The 25251-nt window shown below is 44.1% G+C and overlaps 1 protein-coding gene across 50 annotated transcripts in view, besides 2 other annotated features; it reads right to left on the bottom strand.

The window, feature by feature from the left end:
• The window catches only part of ZNF618 (zinc finger protein 618), a 180285-nt gene extending 162868 nt beyond the window's left edge, over positions 1-17417 (bottom strand). For all 50 annotated transcript variants that reach the window (XM_005251692.4, XM_017014242.3, XM_017014241.3 and 47 more), the window contains exon 1: positions 17313-17417. In XM_005251692.4, the coding sequence (XP_005251749.1) occupies positions 17313-17345 (33 nt within the window). In that variant the 5' untranslated portion in view covers positions 17346-17417. The remainder of the gene's footprint in view (positions 1-17312) is intronic.
• Positions 18993-19493: an enhancer, noted in NCBI's record as "H3K4me1 hESC enhancer chr9:116636513-116637013 (GRCh37/hg19 assembly coordinates)". NCBI's record gives its function as "activates a minimal SCP1, AML or CMV promoter by ChIP-STARR-seq in naive H9 embryonic stem cells {active_cell/tissue: H9 hESC(naive)}" and the evidence as "EXISTENCE:reporter gene assay evidence [ECO:0000049][PMID:30033119]".
• Positions 19494-19994: an enhancer, noted in NCBI's record as "H3K4me1 hESC enhancer chr9:116636012-116636512 (GRCh37/hg19 assembly coordinates)". NCBI's record gives its function as "activates a minimal SCP1, AML or CMV promoter by ChIP-STARR-seq in naive H9 embryonic stem cells {active_cell/tissue: H9 hESC(naive)}" and the evidence as "EXISTENCE:reporter gene assay evidence [ECO:0000049][PMID:30033119]".

The following is a 25251-nucleotide window of genomic DNA, read 5'->3' as shown; positions in this document are numbered from 1 at the left end:
TGGAAAATCAGAACCAACCTAAATGTTCAACAATAGAGTATGAGTTAAATAAATTATTTTCATTCTCATCTGTGAATATTATGTAGTCTTGAAAAATGGCTTTGTCATTAGGAAGACAAAGCAGCTTAACAGAGAAGATAGGGGAAGGAAAAGGCAGGAACAAAATTCTTAATACTTTATGACTTAAATAATAAAAATATGCTTACAAAATAACCAGAGGGAAAGGTGTCCAAATTTTAATGGTAAATGTAAGAGGGTTGACATTTATTTAGGATGATCTTTTTATTTTCTGATTTCTCTATAATATCACTAGATTGTTTAAAAATTAACTTATTAAAACAAATATTAGCATGCAACTAACTGCAGCCAGGGAAACATTTCAGATAAGCCACAACTATCATATTCCATCTGATTCAATAAGGTACTTATATAGTCCCTAGGGAAAGATACTGGCACGTCCATAGCATGTTTTGAACAGGACTCCATAGGCTTTGGGGTTGGACAGACTCAGGCTCCAATCTCTGCTCTGCTACTTCCTACAGCAAGTTTCTTAACCTCACTCAACCTCAGTTTCCTTATCTATAATGGCATTGATGCCAGTCTAGCTAACAAGGCGAGTCTGCCCAGTGAAGGAGTCCACCAGAAAGCGGCCCAACTTAGTGAGCACAGCAGGCAGTGCAGTAATTTATCTGCTATTTCGTAAGTCTGCTCTTAAGACATGATTCTAATGTTAACGTTTACTTTAAAGTGATAAACAGTGTGATACCTGTACATCTGTACATCAAGAGAACACAACAGACAGTCCAGAAACAGTCCTAAGTACATAGAAGTTTAACGTAAGATAAAGACAGCATTTCAAATCAGGCAGGAAAAGATGGATCATTCAATTATTGGCGTTATAGCAAGGGCTCACCATTTGGGAAAAAATAGAGCCTGATCCCTATGTCCCTCCTTTAAACCAAATATATTCCAAATAGATAAACCATTTAAGTACAACAAAACCTATATAAAAAAATAGAAGAAATGTATAATTTCTGTAAATGCTTTTCTGCTTGTTTCCAGTTATTTCATATTATTTATAAACCCAATTCTACTGTGACCACTTATGCATATATTGCATGGTATAAAGACATAAATATTTCTTGCATGTTCCTACAAGATAAACTGTTGATGTGTTAGGTTATGGACGTGTTTAACTTTTTTCTTTGACCATCTGAACCATTTTGAAATGTACAATCCAGCAGTGTTAAGTATACAGGCAGCCCTCTGTCTTCATGGGTTCCACATCCATGGATTCAACCAACCTTGGATTAAAATGAACTGCTGCATCCGTACAGAACATGTACAGACTTTTTCCTTGTCATATTCCCTAAATATACAGAACTCACACAGCATTTACATTGTATTAGGTACTATACATAATCTAGAGATAATCTGAAATATAGAGGAGGATGTTCGTAGTTCTATGCAAATACACCATTTGATGGCAGGGACTTGGGCATCCATGGATTTTTATATTGGGGGGGCGGGGCATGGAACCAATCCCCCACGGATACTAAGGGACAACCATGTTCACACTGTCGTGCAACAGATCTCTACAACTTTTTCATTTTACAAAACTGAAACTCTCACCTATTTAACAACTGCCCATTGTCCTTGCACCAGCTGCTGGCAACTACCATTTCACTTTCCATTTCTGCGTTTGACTTCAATTTCTCTTATGAGTGGGATCACACAGCATGTGTCTTTTTGTGACCACCTTATTTCACCAAGCAGAATGTCCTCAAGTTTCATCCATGTTGAAGAATGACAGGATTTCCTCCATTTTTAAGGCTGAATATTCTATCATATATTGTTGATTTGTTAGGTTATGTAAATATTTAACTTGTTTCTCTTACCATCTTAACCATTTTTAAATGTACAATCCAGTAGTGTTAATAACAGAATATTCTTCAGCCTTAAAAATGAAGGCTGAATACATCATATTTTGTTTATCCATTCATCTGTAGATGGACATTTCAGTTGCTTCCACCTTTGGGTATTGCAAATAATGCTGCAATAAACATGGGTGGAAAAACATCTCTTTGAGACCTTGCTTTGAATTTTTAGATATATACCCAGAAATGGAATTGCTGGATCATATGGTAATTCTATGTTTAATATTCTGAAGAAACACCCTACTGTTTTCCATAGCAGCTGCACCAACAGCACACAAGAGTTCCAATTTCTCCACATCCTCACCAACACTTTTTTAAAAAAAATAACAGCCATACTAATGGGTATGAGGTGATATCTCACTGTGGTTTTGAACTGATGAATGATGTTGGGCATCTCTTCATATGCTTACTGGCCATCTGTATATTTCTTCGGAGAAATGTCTATTCAACTTCTTCGCCCATTTTTTAATGGAGTTATTTTTTGTTGTTGTTGATTTATAGGATTTCTTTATATATTCTGGATATTAACCCCTTACCAAATACATATGATTTGCAAATATTTTCTGCCATTCTGTAGGTTGCCTTTTCACTATAAATTCTTAATATGGAGAAGTCTTTTTAAATGTGGCACACATATACACATACACACGAAGAATCCAAAACACACAAATATAAATATTTTTAAAAAGTAAACATTGCATTTAACCACCACTTCCACTAAATAACATCAACTAAGTTTTAAAAAGTCTGGGGAAAAAAATGGAATCTAAATAACAAAGTCAATATCTCCAAAATCCAAAGAGCTTTTCTTTAAAAATGTAAAGGAAAAGACAAACACCGCAAGAGAAAAATGGGCAAAAAGGTTGAACAGGCAATTCATAAAAGAAATGCAAGTAAAACATATCAACCAAAATATAATGCAAGTAAAACATACCAACTAAAATATAAAACTATACCAACAGATATTCAACCCCATTAGTTTGCCCATCAGGCCATCAAAGATATAAAATATAAGCACAAGGTGATGGCCAGGATGTGTAAAATGGGCACTCACAATCTCCTAATAGAAATGTAAACGGATACCACCTGGCTGGGAGACACTTGGCAAGTTCTGTCTACATGTAGAATAAAAATCCACCATGGTCCTGCAGTCAGCTTTCCAAACAGTGATGTTAAGGAGATGATCACACAAGTGAGAAGCTGTACGAAAAAGATGTTTCTCACAGAGTAGGTTATAACAATGACAAATTAGAAATAACCAAAATCTAATCGCACACTGAATTTTGGGCCATGCATACAGTGGAAACACAATGTAGTCAGTAAAATAATAATGAAGACCTATCTACATTTGCTGATGATGAAAAATATATCTATGAATTTAAAAAGAAAAAGACATCAGGCCTCAGAACAGCATGGAATATAATCCCATTTGCGTAAAATCATATGTACTTAAATATGTAGAGATGGCTTGAATAATGCTCATCAAAATGTGAAGGGCGGTTATCTCGGCATTTCAGGTGATTTTTTAAAAAGAATAATCTTCATTTTTTTGTACTGCTTGAATGTTTTTGTAATGAACATGTTATTTTTATAGTCAGGGAAGAAAAACTATTTTCGCTTGGGAAAAAAATGGAAGTGGAGAACTAACTCTTAGTAGACATTTAACACTCAGAAACCAAAAGAGAGCCTGTATCCTATGCAGAGACAGGGTAGTCAGGAAGTCCTGGAGTTCAAGTCCTGACCCTGACATTAGTTGGCTGAATGACCCTGGGCAAGTTATTTAGCTTGTGTCTTGGTTTCTTCCCAGGAAAATAAAGATGATAATTCTAAGTCATGGAGTTGTTTTGAAGATCAAGGGACTAACATTCACTAGGTTCTCAATCAACATTAGTCTCATTCTCCCTCCGAGCTCATTATTGAATGCACATAGCTGTGCCTGGCACACAGGTCCTCAAAATGTGTTAGGTGATTGGGATAGACAGAAGAACAGACAGTCACACAGAAGGACAGACGTCTGAAGGGTGGAAAGATGGAATGGGTGAGTGGGTAGAGAGAGAGATGCATGGAAAGGTAGATAGCTAGTCAGACAGATTGATGGGCACACTGATGGTATGGTGGCCCTTGTTTTCCAAAGATGGCCACATCAAGATATATCCCATCCTACATGCTCAATGTAAAGCTGACACGCCTCCATAGACAGATGGAGTTGATGTCCTGCCCTCTGAATGGCGCACACCTTTGTAACTGCCTCCATCAATACAATGTGGTGAAGTGATGCTGCATGACTTTGGAGGCTAAGTCATAACAGGTGAGGCTGCAGCTGCTTAGTGCTATCTATCTTGGCACATGCATCTTTGCAGCCTCAAGACGCCACGTAAGAAGTCTAGCCATATATGAAGCCTCTATGCTGGAGAGACCACACATGGAGAGGGAGGGAGAGAAAGAGAGAGAGAGAGAGAGAGAGAGAGAGATGGTAGCGGGGAGACAGGGCCAAGGAGATCAGCTGTTCAAGTCTTCAGAATCCTGGCACCAAATATGAGCATGGAGAACCCTTTTAAGATAACTCTGCCTCAGCCACCATATGACCACAACCACAGAAAGACCCTGAGCCAGAACTGACCAACTGAGCCACTGCCAAATTCCTAGCCCACAGAAACCATGAGACAATAAATGATCATTGTTGCGTTAAGCCACTGAATTTTGGGGTGATTTGTTGCACAGCAATAACCGTCTAATACAGACAGTGAGGTGAGTGTATGTGGGTGGGAAGATGAACTGGCGCTGATTGGAGGATTTTTGCATGTGGAACCCTGGCAATCAGCACTATCCTGCACTTAAATCAGACCTTACCTTGTAAATCTCTCTTGTCTGTTCCAAAGGCCTCCTGCTTACCTGGCTATTCCAAGCCTCTCTTACCTCAGCTGTTTATACTTCCAATTGCCCTCTGATTCTCTGATTAACTGCCCTCCTGCCCAAACTAACAGCACATGCCTTCTGAGACAACCTAGTCCAAGCCCTTATTGTACAGTAGGGAAAACTGAGGTCCAAAGAGAGCAAAGAATGTACCCGAGACTGGAAAGCGTCCAGGGCTATTTCTCCTCCAACAGCCTGTGGGCTCCAGGTATCCCTGGGGTTGAATCCTGACTCCACCTCTCACGGCCTGTTACTGTCCCATCAGGGCAGTGAGCGATGCTGCAGGCCCTGACTGGGACATGCCAGAGCTCTTGGCTCCAAGCATACCTTACATCTGTCTGGGCATAAATTTGCATTCTGAATCCGGGAGGCCCCGATTCCAAGTATGTCAAATGTAATTAATTACAGCAAACCTTCTGCAACTGTTTTCAAACGTGGTATTAAAGGCTTTGTGAGCATGGAACACAAAACCCGCTGGTCTGCTGAGGCTCATGGGGAGCTGGGGGCTGAAAGCCAGGGAGTCCCAGACCCAGGCCCCATGAAATGGGGAGAGCAGCTTCCCCAGACGCCATGGCTCAGAACAATCCACCACAGACAAATGGGTAGCCGTGTCTCAAGTCCCAGCCCATCCATCGACTCCACATCCTGGGCAAGTTACTGTGCTTTCCTCAGCTGTACAACGGGAATGGTAAGATTCAACACCTCAAAGTGGTGTTGTGAGCTTAGAATATGGTGGCCACCTAAATTTGAATCCAGCTGCCACTTACCAGCTGTGTAGCCTTGGGCAATTCCTTTCACCTCTGAATTTCCACTCTCTCATATTTAAAAAAAAAACAAACCCTACTTTACAAGGTGACTGTTTTAAATGAGATAATAGATATTGAATGCTTAGTCCAAGGCCAGTCATATAATAAGCACTCAGCAAATGTGCAATGATTGTATTTCAAGGCAGATAAATTCCATTGTGCAAAAATAATGTGAGATAAATAAGAATGCTAAACTTCAGTCCTTGAAAAGTTCCTAATTAAAAAAATAAAATTTTATAAAGCTGAATTTCCAACACATGGCTCAAACTTCCTTTCAAAACATGAAGAGCAGGAGTACTGAATTGGAAAACTACAGACTGCTGCTACCCGCCTGGGCCGCTCACCCACCTCCAGGTCTCTGATCCAGGCTGGAAGTCAAGGGAGATGACTCCCCACCCTGCCAGCTCTGCCCACTATAAAAGGATGCCCTCTGGGTCTTCTAGCAGCCTTCCTTCCCAAATCATTACAGGAAGCAGACACGACTTAGCAAAAGAATGGCTTCCAGTCCCCGCAGGACTCAAAGTCCACAGCCCCCAATGTGACCTGGGTCTCTATGCCCAAACAAGCCCAGAACTGCAACCTGATCCAAAAATACCCCAGTTCAAACTCAAAAACGAATTTGGAATCTTTTGGTAGGCAGAGAAATTGTCAGGGATTATCTTTTAGATTTGTTTTTGCTCATCTTGTTGGATTTGCTTTCTTTCAAAGTGTTCAACTAATGTTTAGGGGAGGGATAAGCAGAGTGGGAAACAACATAATTTTTTCCCTGAATTACTAATCTCTCTCTCTTTCTCTGTCTTATAAACTCTCATTACCTCCTCCATTTCAACCACCTACTTACACTAATGCCTACACCACTACATCACCATCCCATGCCAGGTTCTGAGTCCTACAGTCTGTCTAGGTATCTGATGACGGTGTTGTGTGACCCTGAGCAAGCCACTTGCCCTCTCCGGGGTTCCACTTCCTCTACTATAAAAGGAGCAGGTTGGCTTAGATCAGCACTGTCCAATAGAAATATAATATGAGCCATGGAGGGAATTTCAAATTTCCCTAGTAGCCACATTGTTAAAAAAAAAAAAAAAAAAAAAAAAAAAAGTAGAAAGTAAAAAGAAACCAATGAAATTAGTATTAATAATATATCTTATTTAATCTAATATGTAAAATATCATTTCAACCTGTAGTATTTTCAAATTATTACTTTTATAGTCTTTTTTTTCTACTAAGTCTTTGAAATCTTGTATGGATTAACTACCCACATTTCAACTACTCCTAGCTACATGCAGCTAGTGGATACCAATACATACTGGATGGCACAGGCTTAGATGCTATCTGTTACCCTTATAGCTCTAGACCCCTCTGACAAAACAAAGGCAGGCCTCACAACAAATTCCAACGAAGGCTAGTAGCACCCCAGGGAAGTTTCTCTTCCCTGAGGTCTCATTTCAGACTAGTTTCAGTTTTATTTCAGATCAGTTTCACTTTCTGCTTTTCCAGCATACATTTTAAGAAACACCCACATAAACACAATTAAATGTTTATAGTTATTTTTCCCAGTTGATGAAATTAAGGAAAAAAAAAATTCCCCAACATCCAAAAATGTCTTCGTCTATTCTTTTATTCTTTTTGAGTATTCTAAGTTCCCCGACTACATCTTCTTCGCTTGCAAAAACTCTGAGTCCAAAATAAAACAAAACACAAATTCTCTGCAAACTTTCACCTGACAAAAATTCCCACCCTTAGTCCCCCAATTTTCCACAAAAATGTTGGGACAGGCAGGAATTTGTATGGCACAGGCTCAAAGCTGAGAGGTAAGAATGGCTAGCTCCTCAGATATGCTGTCTTGGACAGTAACACATCCAGTAAGCAAGCCAAAAGCACTTTTGACTTTGAGTGCTACCAGCAAACTGCGAGCCAGGGACTTGCCAAGAGATACTCAGGCCTCCTCCACTTTGCAGGAGCCATTTCCACCCCTGGGGGAGACACCAGGTTTCATTCCTCCCTGGGTCCTCACCCAGGAACAGGGCTGACCCCTGGTAATCAAAGATTCACCCCTGACAAAGGGCTCACTTCACTAGAAAGCAATGTTTTTCCCTGTGTTTTCTATAGCAGACTGGGGGGCCAAGCATCACCTGACTCCATTTATTCGCTTTAGCTTATATAGAAAGCCTCATTCTGCTTTGTCAGCCAAAATATTTATATCACTTTTTTGTCGACTCAATACCATCCTCACCTCAGCCTTCCTCCTTTCCTTTTTAAGAAAGGAGTTGTCGCCAACATGTTTCTCCAGTTCTTTGCTGTTCATGAAGCACTTTCTAGTCCATTAACTCATACGATGCTTTCAAAAAGCCTGGAAGGGTTTAAGGATGGCCTGTCCTCCCACTAAACAGATGAACAAGTAGAGGCTGTGTCGGGGTCCCAGACCCCAAGGCCTTCCAGGGCTAGGCAGGCCACATACATGATTGAAACAGGATGAGGCTGGGGACAGATGCAAACAGGAAAGAATCTGTGAAAGACTCACAAACTCCAAACTTTCTGAACCCTGGGCTGGCAAAAAGATAAAATAACATACAAGAGAAGGGACCCACTCATCTTGTGGCCCTTAGTCTGTGACTCAGTTTACACAACTTACCCAGCATAGCACTAATAATTCGTACTAGTTATAAAAAGTAACGTGTATTTAAAAAGTAACATGTATGTCAAGAGTTTACAAAGCATTTTCAAACTTGTTATCTTATGTCATTCCTGTGAAGAATCATTACCAGCCCATTTCTCAGATGCAGAAATTAAGATACGGAAGGACTAAAGAACTTGTCTGTGGACTTGAAAGTGTGTAAGCAGCAAACCTGTCCCAAACCCAGGTCATCATCCAGGAACCCCAGGGCCTGCCTTGCCCCACTGCCACGTCACTTACACTGCTGAGAGACACCATCCAATCCAGCTGCCTAGCCACAGGCGTCTCCCCTTTGAAACCTGATCACTCCAGGATCAGGCAGAGAAGCAGGTCATCCAGCCCTGCTTTGATGACAACCCCAAGGGTATCTAATTATAACAGGGAAGGGAGGAGTCAGGATTCTCTCGCTATTTCTCAAGACCAAATTAATTTTAATTCCTTTTGATACAGTGTATACACACAGGGCAGGAAAAGCACTGGTTGAGGAGTGAAGAAATCTGAGGCTTTTAGTCCCACTTCCGCTTGTTCACTGAGGTCTTGGGTAAGTCACTCCACCTTCTTCCCAAGGCCTCAGTTTCTCTGTCTCTCTCTCTCTCTCTCTCTCTCTCTCTCTCTCTCTCTGTGTGTTTGTGTCTCGATAAGGAAGGAAAAACTGGCTTCATGTCCCATGGGGTGCGTGTGTGTGTGTGTCGATAAGGAAGGACAAACTGGCTTCATGTCCCATCTAAGCCCAACTGATGGGTAGCATTATATAATACTAAGGACTCTGAGGCCGCTGGCCATACTCAATGGAAAGGACTACCATGGTCAATTAGTGATGTCTGCCACAGGCTAGAGGATGGGGAATGGCAGCATGTATGCTACTTATTTACCATCCTTGGACTAGATGATGCACAAATAACATGCTGCAAGTGAAAAGAACTTTGCCCTTTACAAAACTTTTTTCTTACATCTCTCACAACTTTCACAAGAACCCTATGCATCATCATCTTCAATCATCATCATCAATATATTATCATCTCACCTTTACAGGTAAGGAAAATACGGTGCAAGGAAATGAAGTACTTTGGCAAACACCACAAAATGATTAACTGGTGGAGCAGAGAGGGGAGCCGTGCCTTGGCTCTCCGACTATGCTCTGCTCATTCTACCCTTGGAAATGTCAAACTGGTGCTCCGCTGTTGTCGGGCCAGCTCATGCATGTGGCTGTACTGAAGAGACCCCCCTCCCCCATTTACAGGACTTCACCTCCCTCCCACGGGCTACTTGCCCCTTTTAGAGAGGCCACAGCAAAATTACAAAACCTACACACAGACATGGCAGGAAAGTAGGACTAAGTCAGAGTTCCAGATGTTTCTTCCCAAGGTGAAGTCCTGCCTTCACTGTACAGGGCGGGGGGGGGGGGGGGGGGGGCCAAGCCCAGAGAAAAGTGAGGTAAACAGAGCATGGAGCCCCCACAGGTCATAGTCCTCCCCACCAGGAGGACAACAACACTCAATCCCAAGATGCTTTCAACTGATAGATGCACCATCGATTTTATAACAGCTTTTGGAGAAGAAATAAGAGGGAGAAAAAGTTCACTAGAAGAACAAATCTACTGTAAGGGGCATCCTGATTTCAGAAATATGGAAACGTGGGAATATGAACACTGAGGATCGATGTCTACCTTAACTTAGGATTCTATGCTTGCTTGCTGAAATTGGCCACAAAGTGTTAAAAATGACAGCATTTTATAAAACGTGCTGAAAAAAACTAAGCCAAGAAACAGAAGGTTCTGTTTTCTCCCATAAATTTTCCTTGAATCTTTGACATCTGCAAACCAAAATTCAACCAAAAATGGGGTCACATCACACATTTAGGTGCTTCAAGTTGAAGGAGCCCGTGTGCCTGGATATTCTGCAAACAGGCCCCTGGTGTTCAGTTCCAGGACACCTGGCTAAGAAGACCAGGCATAAATACAGGGCACTGCTATGCCCCATTCACCATACCTGCAAATCAGGCATCTGGGGGTCCCCCATCCACTTTAAAGAAATACTTTATACAAAAGGAGTGAGGAGGGCAGGGGTGAAAGTCATCAGACGAACATTTTAAAAATCCCCCAAGACATGTAAAGGAGCATTTCCCCAACTAAGGATCCCTGTTGGACTTATTATTCCAGGGGAGCCATGGCTTCAGAGCCAGCTGTAAGAAAATGTGCCTCGGGCTCCCTAATAAAACATTGGCTTTGACCAAATGGCCAAGCCCAAATTGGTCATCCACTCTTCACTAGACCCAAAGCCCACTGATCTGAGCTATTTCCAAAAATCAAATGAAGTCATCAAATATTTATGGAGCTGCTGCTCTGCGCCAGACCCTAAAATGAATAACCGGTGATCTCTACCCTCACAGATGTTACAAGTTGGCTGGAGAAGCAGAAATGCAAACAACCAACTCTGACCTGTGGGTCCACATTGTTTGGGAGGTACCATGGGGGCAGAGGGAGAGGAAGCCTACCTGGGGAAATTTGTTGGGGGAGCTCTACAGAAGAAGAAGTGCAGCTGATCTCGAGGAGGGTCTGGTTTCTCACGAAGCAGATATGAATGAGGGAAGGGGCACCAGAGGCAAGGGCCCCAGCATGAGCAGAAGCTCAAAGACATACAGGTCCACCCGCGATTGAGATGTATCCCTTTTAAAGCCTTGCCACAGGCTCAGAAACAAATCCAGAAACATTCCAAGGAGCTAGAGCAGCCCCGGAATGAAAGCATCCAGAATGCTTTAACAAGAAAGTCTCATGGATGGCAGGCTGTTTTAAAGCAACAGCCAAGAGTGTACATTCTCACTTGTCGCCTAACTTTGCCTGCTAACGATAAGCCACCAGGTTTCCAGGACTACCCCAAGTGTTGTCAGTGGGACTTAATCTCCCCAAATGGAGAATCCCTGGCCACTGGGTTGAGTCAACTCACATGCGTCGACCACCTACTCAGGCCCTCAGACCGGCTGAGAGTCTCCACATGTGACCCCTTCATTTAATCCTAAAACAACCCTGCAAGGCTGGGATCATTAACCCTCTTTTCCCAGATGTAGAAGCTGTGGTTCCAGAACCAGAGTGACTTTCCCGAAGTCACACAAAGCTAACCACACCATGAGGCTGGATTTCAAACTCTGGTCTGGCAGACCTCAAACCCAGCTTTCCATTTTCCCAATTGGGGTGGATTCGGAAAATCTCTATGCATCTGACCTAAGGCCTGGCCTGGGGGGATTTCCTGCTGATGCCATGTTTTTGGCTCAGAAATAGATTTCATTGCCAGGCCATCTTTTACCTCTGATCTCCTTCCTCTCCTCAGACCCCAGCCCTGGTCCTGGCCACCTGCTGCCTTTTTGCAACTTCATCCTTCTCTCTGGCAACACTTTATTTAAAATGCACTTCAAAAAGCAACAGCCTCCCGGACTCACACTCCTTGACTTCAACAGCTCACAGGCTGCAACACATCATCCCGGAGTTACTAGCCATCATTTGTCATTTTTAACTACAGCACAGTGGCCTAACCCTGGCAGAAGTCTGCGTTGGGACAAATAAAAGGGAAATGTGGGCTACTCTAGCCAGGAGAGCTATATGGATGGAACTCATCATCACTACAGGCTGAAATGCCTCAGAGCATGTGAGATTCTGATAGGAAGTCTCACCAACAAAACCAAGAGGTCTGAAAGGTGTTGCTACCCTTCTGGGGCCAGCCAGTGATGACGACAACTGGTCCAAACCTGAGCTGTCCAATATAGTAGCCACCAGCCACATGTGGCTGCTGAACAGGTGAAATGTGGCTGGTCAGAATTGAGATGTACTGTAGGAGTAAAATACATTAGATTTCAAAGACTCAATAGCACCCCCGCAAAAGACTGTAACTTGTCACATTAATAATTTTCATATGGATGGCTTGATGAAAGGATAGTATTATGGATATACTGAGTTAAATATGTTAAAATCAATGGCACCCGTTTCTTTTACTTTCCTTAATACACTGTGAGAAAATTAAAAATTATATATGTGGCTCGCAACGGGGGCTTGAATTATATTTCTATTAGCGCTGACCTGACACATTTAAAAGATGAGGAGACTAAGACAGAAATTCTGGGATTTTTAAGGAAGTGCACACACACAAAAATACAGACTGTGTTTTTGTCTGATTAAATTAAATATAGCACAAACACAGACTCTCTAACTCCAGAAAAATTTCTCTGGCAATTTAAACTAAAAGTGGGGAACAAAAGACAAGGACTCCACACACTTTAGATCTCCTCTCCAGCAAGAAGACCTTGCAAAGACGCTGCCTTCAAACTTGTATCTGCCTTTCCATATGTCCTTCCAGACTCATCCAAGGCCAACAAGCTGGGGTATGTGCCTGGGCTGCCCATGTGGCTGAGCTTTCTTCATATGTGGCCCTTGAAGTGGGCTCAACCAGGGCTCAAAATATGTGGCACAGGACACCTAACCCACAGGGTTCACCTAAAAGTTAATTGAGATAATAAATGCAAAAATAAAGTATAAGCAATAAAGTGCAGTATACCTGCAGCACATCATGGCGGTTCAGCTAGTCCAGTACCTTTCAAACTCTTTTGGCCGTGACCCACAGGAGGAAATCTATTTCAAATCACACACATACATCCACAAATATAAATACAAGTTTCATGAGAGGATACTCACCTGTACCCTGTGGTATGCCTCTGCTATTTTTTGTTCCCCTATATTCTAGTCTATTCTTGTTTTTAAAAAATTCTGATTGTGATTCACTAAATTGACTTCACAGGCCACTAATGGCCCATGATTCAAGGTCTCGCCTGGGAATGGTAACTAAGAGGTACACTCTCCACTCTGATTTACAATGCTGTTTGGCCACTGCACCCCTCTCTCTAGAATATGGGAGTCGGGATATGGCCTCAGAATCCTTCTCAACACAGTGATCCAGGCAGCCATAACCAATTCCTTGGAGTTACAATCAGAAATGAAACCTATTTATTATTATCCTTGATCTGATCCCAAGTGTTCATTTTATAAATGCAAAAATTGAGGCTCTGAAGGAAAAAGTGATTTGTCCAAGGTCACACAGCAAGACCTTGTGGGGGCTAGGGCTCCTGAAAAGAGCCACTTCATTTTACATCACCAGAAAGAAGGTACAACTGACCCAAAACATCACAAGAACATGGAAAAAATTCAAAATTTCCTCATGACCATGAGAAGTCGGCTTATATACATCAGTCATATATGGCAAGGAAGTTCTTATCACCCACCAAGGAGAAGACGTAAGGATTCTGAGGTCAGAGGAAGCAGCATGCCAAGAGCTGAGTCAAAAGTGAGAAAAATATTGTATCTGACACTGGAGGAGTTTTAAAACCCAGTTTCTCAAGTGAAACAAGCCATTGGCTGTTTATTTTCTAGGACGAGGGAGAGGTCAGCCTTATACTGACCAGCCATCTTTGTTGCTTTCGTTCTGCAAAAGCAAGAACCCTTGTTCAAGTTCACCTCTGTGCAGAGCTGGAAGTATAAGCAAACCTCTTTTCCTAGCTTGCTCCAAAGTCAAACTATAAAGCAGGCCCTTGAAATTTCAAACCTTGTTAGAAAAAATTAAAAAAAAAAAAAAACCTCCTTAGGCAGAAAAGCAAAACATTAAGTAATAAGAGTCTCCACTGTGAAACTGAATATAAACGATCTTTCGCCAAAATAATTCAGCCCATCATCAAATTACCACCCCCAAGTCCAATTTGCCAGATATTTTGCCCAATAATCTACGAGAATGTGGTGAACAGACAGGAGCTAATAAAAATTAGCTCACATGTCCATTTCTGGTCACACGTCCACCTAAAATAGGAGGTGAGAGAGCCAAGGCCAAGGTCAGATCTCAATCCAGAGAGAGACACCAATAGAAACAAAAGAAAACTGGCCCCGCCCCCAATAGAACCATCATGCACCTCTACTTCCTTTACAACAAACATGATCAGAATAACCAATTTAAAAAAAAAAAAAAAACAGAAAAAAAAAAAAAACAGTTCTACAAAACCAGAAATGATTTTCAACTTCTAGCCATAGACAACAGAACAAAATTTCAGCAGAATGGAATGAAGGAAGCTGAATTGTGTGTCAGGAGATCCAGGCCACACAAAGGGACGTGCTGCAATATTTTTATTCCTTGCACCAGAAATAACCTGTTATCTACAACCCTGACTTTTTCTCAGATGCCCCTACCCCCCTCCACCCCTCCCCAGCCCATCTCTCCTTCATCACTGCTAAACTCAGGCCTTCTGCCTCATGAGGCCTCCAAAGCCCCTTGGAAATTATAAATTCCTTGACCGTCCTACTCATCGGCCTAAATAATTCAACAGAAAAAAATTTTTTTAATTATGCTACTTAAAAAAAAAAAAGCTCATTCCAAATATGTCAGAATGTGACCAGTCAGCCCTGAAGGATTTCGTTACTAAAAAAATAAAATCTCCCAAATGCAATGGCGATGATGGGAAATGTCAAACCTCTGCCATTGTCAAATATATTTCACAGAGATAATATATTTGACTTATTCCACTTAAACATCCAAATTTCCACAAAACAGGGTTGGGAATCTATGGACTGGGGCCACCAGTTTTCCCAAGACCAGCTAGTGGCTGGCAAAAGGAGCAAAGGGTTTCCTTTCTTGCCCCAGGTGACCCACCATCAATTTCCAATCCAAGGTCCCTCCAAGATCCCGCCCTGCAAGTCCTAACAATATGCTGTTTTTGGACAGAAAAATTGTAACTTTTGGGGGATAGGCTCAAAATCCCCAGCAAGTTCAATTAGATACTAATTTATCACAAAACGCTTCATCTTTGGGTGGGTACTTTATTCTCATCTGTCAAATTTCAATTCGGTCAATATTTATTTGCCTTCTTAAATTTTTTTTTCTTTTTTGTTTCACCTTCATGTGATTCATTTTAAGGCCAAAACCTCCACATGAAATATTGTTTGCATATATGCTTTCATATTCCAAAGGCAAACCTTGGGTTTGGCTTTTGTTTGTATTTTGATTATTTTTCCTTTATTTTGTTGCTGCTAAAACCAGCTGAGTTGGTGTTATATCACATTTCTTCAGCAAAGTAAGTGTTCTACCAAGGAAGATGGATAAGAATCAGAATTTTCATCTCCTTTTTGCCCATCCCTCTTTTATCTTTTTCTTGTTAAGTCAGTAAAATTTGTGCATTTTTTTTTTTTGGTCACAAACCCCCCAAAATGATCAAGGCTAATGGATTTTTCCCCCTTTGAAAGTAATCAGGTTTTTGAAAAATAACAAATATTGATAAACTACCAACCCCACATCACAATCAAAGAGGCCTGAAACCAATCTAAATTTTTTTTAAGTAATAAATTTTTCAAATTGGAAGGGTGAACAAGACAGAAAAGGGAAAATTTTCTTCCTTACCAAGGATTCCTCAATCCTTGTCTTCATCAATTGATTCAGTTGCATGTCATAAAAAATGAGCTTCTGTGAATCCACTGTTAGTTTTTTCATAATAATGTTAATTATGCATATCTTATTTTAATGGCGGTCTCTCCTACAAATCTGTGGGCTACTCAATTTGTATAATGTATGAATTTACATTTTTTCCACTTAATATTGCTCAAAAAAGGTTCCTGACATTTTCTGGATAAAACAACAACAAAAAAGAAATGCCTAGACCTTTCAGGAAACAAAATCAGAAAACAGTCTTAATTATTCCATCAAAACAAAAAAAACACACACACACACAAAACCCAACAAATACAGAAAAAAAGAAAGAAAGGATTTCACTGTAACTTTTCTAGTTTCTGTTTTCTTTAGAATCTTAGGATTTAAATGCAGTAAAATGTAAATGCAAAATTAAAAAAAAAAAACTACAATTTTTGGGTGTGTCCAAAGCCAACATTTTAGGTTCTATTTTCTCTTTTAAATCCTTCGTTCGTGGAAATAGAAAAACTTTAAATATTGCCATATAGAGAAATTAGTCTTTTTTTGCCCGCTGAGCTAAACAAGTTCCAAATTACAATGAAGTACAATTTCTAATTGCTTCATAAAGCCAATTCTCTCAGTTTTCCCTAAACTCAACAATTTCCCTCCTTTCTTTATTCCAATTAGTTTTTTTCTCAAACTAAAATGAGTTGGGTACCCAAACTGACTTTGCTTTTAGGAGGTTTTTTGCTTTCTCCCCTCCAAGAACTAAATTCATTCAAATTCCAGCTTAATTTTCATTTACATATTATCTGGATTTGGCTTCAGAAATAAAAATTGTCTCCATGCTTCTGGAAAGATCAAAGTGAAAATTTTCACCCGAAAAAAGAAAAAAAAAGAATCTCTTACCCCTCCACTGCCTGGTAGTGCAAACTTTTGAAAAAATAAGAAATAAAAAATATTTCTTTTCAATTTTAATTTCTTTTTTATTTACAAAATAGTATCCTCTAGGTGGCGTCGTTTTAATGGGAAAAAACTACCGTTTGAAGAAAAATTAGAAAAAAAAAATTGAGAAAGGAAAATATGGCCTAAAAAAAAAGATTGTTGCAAAAATGGGGGACCTGGGGGGAAAGACCTCCCGGGGGGTCATCGGGGACCCCGAGCGCAGAGAGGGTCAGGGGAAAATTGCAAATTTGGGGGGGAGGGGGCAGAGCTGGAAGGGGTTGCATTTTTGCAAAATGTGAATTGTCCAAACTGAAATGGCTGCTCTGTTCTCTCGCCGCTTTGTTTTCTGGGCTCCGGTCCGAGCCCGGGGCCGGAGGGGGCGCTGGGTGGGGGCCCCAAAAGACCCCCTCGTCACCCCCACCCTCCTCGCACCCCGCAGCGCCCGGGGGGGTGCTCTCCGGACCCCGACCCTCCCGATTGCGCCCACAAAAAGCCCGCAAACGTGCCCAGGCACTTTGCATTTTGCAAATCTTGCAATGAAGTGGCGCAGCGCCCCGGGCCCCGGCCCCCCGGGGTCCCCCGCGCGGTGCATGCCCCCGGCCCCCCGTCGTACCTGCGGAGCCGCCGCGCCGCCCGGCTGGTTCATGGGTCCGTGCGGGAGGAGGCGGCCCCGGCGCGTCCTGCTCCTCCCGGGCCGGGCTGCTGGTGCGCGCACAATGCCGCCGCCGCCGCCGCCGCCGCCGCCGCCGCTCCCTCCTCCGCCCGCCCCGCTCAGGCCGGGGGGGCGGGGGCGCTGGGGGCGCGCGGGGGGGGCGCCGGCCCTCGCCCCCACCCCCGGCCCGCACCGGCCGCGCCGCGGCAGCCGCTGCCGCCGAGCCGCCCCTCGCGGGGCCGCCGCCGCCCCCCGCCGCCCTGCCCGCCCCCGGGCCGGCCTCGCCGTGCGGCCCGCGAGCTCGGGGCCTCGGCCTCGGCCTCCGCGCTGCCGGCCTCCGCGTGGCACACAAAGCCGGCCGGTCCAGGGGCGCGCCCGCCCTCCCGTCCGCCAGCCCCAGTGCCGCGGCACACCCGCCCCCCCAAACTTTCCCGCGCCGCGCCCTGCCCTCCCCGCGCCCCCCGCGCCCGCTCCCCGGCTCCCTTCTGCCCTCCCCCAGTCCCCCAGCCCCTCGGAAATGTCATTTTCACGCTGGAAAAAAAGTTCAGGGAGCCGGCTCTCGGCGGAACGCAAGAGGTTAATGGGAACTCTGTACCCCGCTGTACCCCCCCGCCAAAAAAAAACCAGATTGATTTTTGAAATAAAAGTTTTCAAGAGCTGGCTTGCTGGAAGACTGGAAGGCTTATTGGGAATATTCTATTGCCCTGCCACTCCTCCCAAAAAAACTAATGTAATAAAATAAAAGTTTGAAGGACTGGCCCCATGTCCGACAAGAGTGGTTAAGGGGACTCTAGCCCCCCAGCCAGACTGATTTTTAAAATAAATACTTGAGGAGCCGCTTTTATGTGAAATGCCAGTGAAGCGGCTGTTTCTGCCTATCCTTGCCAAATTAAAATATATATATGTATTTCTAAATAAAAGTTTGAAAAACTGGTCCTACAGTAAGACAAGAGGGGTTAAAGGTTAAGGGATATTAGCGCCCCCCACCCCCATATCCCCCAGTTAGGTTGATTTAGAGAAGGAAAATTTGAGAAACTTGCATGTGAAATAAAACGTGAACCAGGATATTTCTTTCCAACACCCCAAAATAGCCAGTTTTTTTGTTGTTGTTATTGTTGTTTTTTTTTTTTTAACTTGAGCAACTGCCTCCTTGTGACTTGGGAAAGTTTAAAAGGGATTTTTTTTTCTATTCTCTTCCCTATTCTCCTAAAAAATCCGATTTTTTAAAAATTGAAAGTATGAAGGACCTGCCCTATTATAGAGACAAGGAGGGATTACTGGATCCATCCTACATCTCCCACAACTGGTTGATTTTTGGAATAAAAATGTTAAGAATTGCTCTTCTATGAGATGCAAGGTGAACAGAAATCCTTCTTTGCCCCTCCCCAAAAGAAAACTGCAAGGGTACTTTTCAAAAATAAAAGCATTGGAAATTAAGAGTAACCAGGTATCTTCTCTCTGCCCCCACCTTCAAAAATCAAATGTTCTTTTTTGTAATGTTTAAAGAACTGGAGCAATATGAGACAGGAAAGGTTACAGAAATGTTTTCCCTACAATCCTCAAAAAAGTTATTTTTAAAATTTTAGGAAACGGAGGCACTGTGTAGAAGACACCTCCTTTCCCTAATAAGTTAAATTGGGAGTTTAGCCCTATATGGGAGACATGAAATTAAGAAACACAACTCTTGCCCCCCTTAACAAACACTCATAACACAAGACGTTAAAAGGAGTCTTCTGGCCGGGAGTGGTGGCTCACGCAAATAATCCTTTTGGGAGGCCAAGGCGGGTAGATCACGAGGTCAGGAATTGGAGACCAGCCTGGCCAACATAGTGAACCCCTTCTCCACTAAATATACAAAAATTAGCCAGGTGTGGTGGCACACACCAGCCAGTAGTCCCAGGTACTCAGGAGGCTGAGGCAGGAGAATTGCTTGAACCCGGGAGGCGGAGGTTGCAGTGAGCCGAGACCACGCCATTGCACTCCAGCCTGGGTGACAGAGTGGGACTCCGTCTCAAAAAAAAAAAAAAAAGAGGAGTCTTCTAACCACTTCCTCCCAGACCCCTAAAAGTTGGAGATTCCTTAAAAATTGAAATTGAAAGTGGCCATTTTTCTCCCCACCAACCTGGTAAGTATGTCCCTGCCAGAGGTTTGGCAGCCTCTGCCCAGGCTGGTGTGCAGCAGGCACCAAGGTGAGTAGGGGCAGCTTGCAGAGCATGGCAGAGTTGGGTCCTGTGAGCCCTGAGCATATGTGCTGGGCAGGCAGCCCCTAGTCCACCTGCCCCTCATCCACCAGGTGGTTGGGGCCTTGTTACCTGGAAAGATGCTCCCAGATTTGATGTCTGTCTGGCTCGATCCTTGTGTGAAGGTTTCTGGGCACCTGCCTCAAGGCCGGGTCCCCGCCTCTGCCTAGTAGAGCCAAGCCTGATCTTAGGCCTTAGAGTAGAAACTAGATCCAAAATGACATGGGGTCTCAGTCACCACAGCTGAAAGCTGTATGGTACCAAGGAAAAACTCCTGCCCTGGGAGTCGGGAAAACTTGATACGATAATTATTCATTTGAGCACTTACTATGTGCCAGGTGCCTTGTATCTAGTAGGACAGACACACACCATGAAGAGGAGAACTATTTGCAGCAGCTCTTCTCAAATGCAAGTGATCCTTGGAATCAGCAGGAGAGCCTATTCAGATTGCTGAGCCCACCCCAGAGTTTTGAATTCATTTGGTCTAGGTTAGGCACCAAGAGTTTGCATTTCTAATGCGTTTCCAGGTGATGCTGATGTTGCTGGTTTAAGGGCCACCTTCTTCAAACCTTTGCAGTACAGTGCCAACAGTGAGGTGCTCAGTGCAGCTCAAGGAAGGGTCCTACCCAGCCCGGGCGTGGGTCAGCGAAGATTCCAGGAGGGTCTTAATTAGATGGAAGTTTCTCTCTAGAGCAGGGATTCTTAAATGGGGACTTTGCATTGGTTTGGGGAACCAAGAACTACTCCTTAACCAAATGTATGTCTGTATGTGCATTTTGGGGGAGAAAATCTGTGGCTTTCACTCAAGAGCATCAGTGACCACCAACCTGAAATAATCCACAGCCTGTCTTCAGGCACCTCTGGCCTATAAAAGCTCATGGTCCTTCTCAGCCTTCTTTTTCTAGAATCACTGCAAGCCCTTTCCGTTTCTTCGCCACCCATGGGTCCCAGGAGCTGGGCCTTCTATCAGCACATCTCGACCATAGAGGCATCTCCTCCCCAGGGGTCTCGGCCTTGAAGAGTGCTTCCTTTCTTCATTCTGTATCAGATGGGCCATGAAGGGTATCCTCAGGGGACAATGGCTGAGCTTGAAGTCTTCCTGACAAAATCCAGCTTATAAATGAACCCACATATTTCCCAAACCACAGCAGAAACTATGCAATCACTCAGAGCTGTGGTTTGTCTCCATTCAGGAATTAACTGAGGGCATACTCACCTTGTGGAACTTTTGGAGTGTCCTGAGGACCTGCCCAAGAAAGTGGCTAGGTACTGTATGAGGTGGCTATGGTCCCATCAGGTGCACTGTGGTCATATCTTAGCCCCCTCACTTTCGAGAGCAATGACACTGTGACCAGTGTGGGGAAGCCAAGAGAAGGGGAGGACCCCTACAAACACCAGGCGAGCTCTGGGCAGAGCTTCAAGGGGGAGGGTGTGTGGGTGGAGGAGCCAACATATTTTGTGATCGCCCAGGGGACAAGACCAGACCTGCTCTATGATGGAGCAGGCTCTGTGATACAGCGTTGGAAAAATGACTGTTGGTCAGGGGTGTGGAAGAACAGATGCTCACATCGGTGGAAGCGTGGTCCGGGAGGGACACCCACAGGCTCTCCCATCTTCTGAGGGTCTGTGGTTCAACTCGGCGTGCCTGAGTTTATCAAATTCTGGAAACTTTTTACTCCTTCCATGCCTAGCCCACTGCCTCCAGGACTAGCATTACTACATCATTTTATGAGCCCAGCCTCTGGCGTCAGTTCCCAGGTTCACTGGCTCTGGTCCTCTTCCCCTGCGGTGTGGTCTCCAGCAGATGGCTCAACTTCTTGCCCCCACTTCTTCATCTTTAAAATGATAGGCCAGGCTCGGTGGCTCACGCCTGTAACCCCAGCACTTTGGGAGGCCAGGGCGGGTGGATCACAAGGTCCGGAGATTGATACCATCCTGGCTAACACGGTGAAACCCCATTTCTACTAAAAATACAAAAATTAGCCAGGTGTGGTGGCACACGCCTGTAGTCCCAGCTACTCAGGAGGCTGAGGCAAGAGAATCGCTTGAACCCGGGAGGCGGAGGTTGCAGTGAGCCAAGATCAAGCCACTGTGCTCCAGCCTGGGCGACAGAGCGAGACTCCATCTCAAAAAATAAAATAAAATAAAATAAAATAAAATAAAATAAAAAGAAATAAAATAAAGTAAAATAAATAAAATGATGCTAACAGTTTTATCTACCTCATGGGGTGCCCTGAGGATTAAATGATGTAATGTGTGAAGTCCTTAGAAAGTGTATTGTGTAGCGAGGTCAGGAGATCAAGACCATCCTGGCTAACACGGTGAAACCCCGTCTCTACTAAAAATATAAAAAAATTAGCCGGGTGCCTGTAGTCCCAGCTACTTGGGAGGATGAGGCAGGAGAATGGCGTGAACCCGGGAGGCGGAGCTTGCAGTGAGCCGAGATCGCGCCACTACACTCCAGCCTGGGCGACAGAGCGAGACTCTGTCTCAAAAAAAAAAAAGAAAGTGTCTCGTGTAGAGAAAGCGCACACGTCGGCAGGTGGAATTTCCGGTGCCCTCACTACCCGGGTGATCCTGGCCTCAGGGCTTCATCTCTGAGCTTTAGTGTCTGTCTTTGAAAAATGGGGATTCTAAAACCTACCAGTCTTATCAATACGCTTTCAGTTGTAACCAATAGAAAAGAAATCACGCTAAACAGACAAAAAATGGAAAATTAGAAGGTGGATCATGGTATCCAAGGGCAGGAAATGAAACAAAGCCTCAAGGGGATTCAGAGCCAGGAACTAGAAAAGTTTCAGGACCTGGGCTTTCTCTCTCCATCACTCTGGGCCACAGATCTCTTGACATCTCAGTCCTAACTTCTCCCTCCTTCCCACTCTCTCTCCGGGTTAGGGGTCGTCTCTGCTTCCCTGGACACGAAGTCAAAATGGTCAGCATACCATCCTCTCAGTGCAGCAAGTACTGACTGGAGTCTCTGCGCTCAATCCAAACTCAGAATAGAGAATGGAGTGAGTCAAGCTTGGCTTAGGTGCCACCAGGAGCTGATCCTCTATGGCCAAAGATGGCAGGGTCACAAAACACATAGAGCCTCTTGAGACCCAGCCTTGAGAGAAGGGACGTGGGGGGCTGAGCAGAACCTTCCAATGTTCCTCTTGGAGGACTGGTGAGGGTTCGCTGAGACTGAGGACGTGATGTGGAGATACACCAAAGTTGCATTTCTTTGTGCTAGAGTCTGGCAACATTTGGAAAACCCAGGAAGTTAAGATGCTGAGGCTTTTTCTAGTAGGTGATGGGCAGATGTCAAACTTGCGTCACAAGCAGGTGGTGGGAGTTGCCTCAGCAGAAGCCTTTGGGTCCCAGACAGAACCTGGGGGCTTGGCTAAGATCTGCTGGGTAGGTCTTGGTGGAGAAGTTGCCTTTATAGAGAAACAGTCGGCTCAAAAGGGCATGGAAAAGAATGAAGGCTAAGACTTCATGAAATGGTGTTTTCTTCCTCAAGCTGAGTTACTTTTCCTTAAGCCTAAAAAACAAGGGAAATGCTCTCTTGTAACAGCCCAGCCAGGGTGACTTGGGCTTTCAAGTCTCTACACAAAGGGGGGGGAAGAAATCACACGATCTGGTCTTAGAAAATTCCTTAGCAATTTATCAAACAAGTTGGCAGCATTTTCTCGTTTGATTGACTATTTCTCCAAAGTGGGCAGAGAAGGGACAGTCACCCCCATTTTAAGGCTCAAGTGTCTTGATCCGGTACAAAATTCCAACTTTTGCTCTGGAATTTTCTTCTTTTCTTCCATTCCTCTACCTCCCCATCCCCGCACAGGGAGAAGTTGGGAAGGAGTTGGGATCAACCAGCAGCAACGTACTTCCTCAAGGAGGGACCTTGCAGGTCATGGTGAAGTCTCCAGAGAAGCAGGTACCTTAGGCCTTGGCAGTCCCCCAGGGAGGTGAGTCCAGGAGCGAAAACGGAGAGAAAGAAGATCCAGGACAAGATACTGGCAAATAGAAAGAAAGAGATCAGGCTGGATGCGGTGGCTCAAGCCTGTAATCCTAGCACTTTGGGAGGCCGAGGCGGGCGGATCATGAGGTCAAGAGATCGAGACCATTCTGGCCAACATGGTGAAACCCCATCTCTACTAAAAGTACAAAAATTAGCTGCGCATGGTGGCGCTCGCCTGTAGTCCCAGCTACTCGGGAGGGTGAGGCAGGAGAATTGCTTGAACCCGGGAGGCGGAGGTTGCAGTGAGCCGAGATCGTGCCACTGCACTCCAGCCTGGCGACAGAGCGAGACTCTGTCTCCAAAAAAAGAAAGAAAGAGATCAAAGTGATCGCCCAGATAAAGAATCAGCATTGAGGCAAAAATCTATGTAGCCTGTCCCAGGAGTCAACAATAAATGCTCCTTATGTTTCATAAACCTGTTCCATGGAACCTGCCAGCCCATGAAGCCTAGAGAAAGCCTGGCATCCTAGTAAAGATCTCATCTAGTCTCTGCACTTAGACCTGTGCAGATTGTAACATTAGCCACTATAAAAACCTCAGTTTTTCTCATCTGTAAAATTGGGCAAAATAAGGTACGTAACACCACAGAGTTATTTAAAGCCTTAATTCATGTTATGCACTCAATGCATGGCAATTATGATTACCATTTCCAGCCCGTATCGACCTCAACATGTATAAGGAAACTCAGGCTCCGGGATGGGATGAGGGTGGAGTCACCTCATTTGAGCAGGGCTAGACAGCCGAGAATGGAGCAAAGTCAGCTTTGAAGGCAGCTTCCCCAAATCCAGTTGGCAGTGCCCCCCACTATGGCAGTAGTCCTGATTTTAATTCAGCTGGATCTCAGAATGGAGATGGGCCCAGGCCATGAGAAAAAAAGAAAAGGAATAAAGATGGCAAGAGCTTGTCCACCTCGTTTCCTCCTTCACCATCTGGTGCTCCCAAAGGAGGCTTTAATAATCCATCCTTTCTGCTGAGAAACACACTTGTGAATGCAATTACAATGTGTCATAGTACAGGGCTCAGGCTCTGTCTGGACTCAGACCCAACTGGGTTCCAATCCCAGTTGAGTCCCTTTCCAGCCGTGTTTTCCTGAGCACATCACACCACTGTCTCTGAGCCCCAGTTTCCTTAACTGTTAAATGGGGATGATAACACAGACGTGCATGTTTTACATGAGGGTTAGAAAAAGCAATAATGTCAGCACACAGTAGGTATCCTAGATAGTCGAGATGATGATATTAATGATGATGATGATCTCAACGGCTTCCATCTGCAAAACTATCCAGTGGGCGGGGCATGTCTGGAATGACAGCTCAGCCATGAAGCCATCCAACTATGTCCCTCAGTTATCTCCATTAGCAGATGAGGGGAGTGAGGCATAGAAAAGTAAAATGGAATGTTTCTTTCACCAGTAATTGGACAAACTGCCAGCATGTGACTCTTGATGGGATGCACCGACAACCAACAGTGCTTACACAGAATTCCTGCCAAAAATGCATAACCCAAATCTAATCATGAGGAAACATCAGACAAATCCAGATCAAGGGACATTCTACAGAACAACTGGCCTGTATTCTGCAAAAATGTCAATGTTATGAAAGACAAAGAAAGACCAAGGAACTGTTTCAAATTAAAGGAGACTAAAGAGATAAGTATGACA

This window comes from Homo sapiens, chromosome 9 (genome assembly GCF_000001405.40).
Source record: "Homo sapiens chromosome 9, GRCh38.p14 Primary Assembly".
Lineage (NCBI taxonomy): Eukaryota > Metazoa > Chordata > Mammalia > Primates > Hominidae > Homo > Homo sapiens.
Note: the sequence above shows the minus strand (reverse complement) of the source record. Positions and strands in the feature narration are given on the sequence as shown.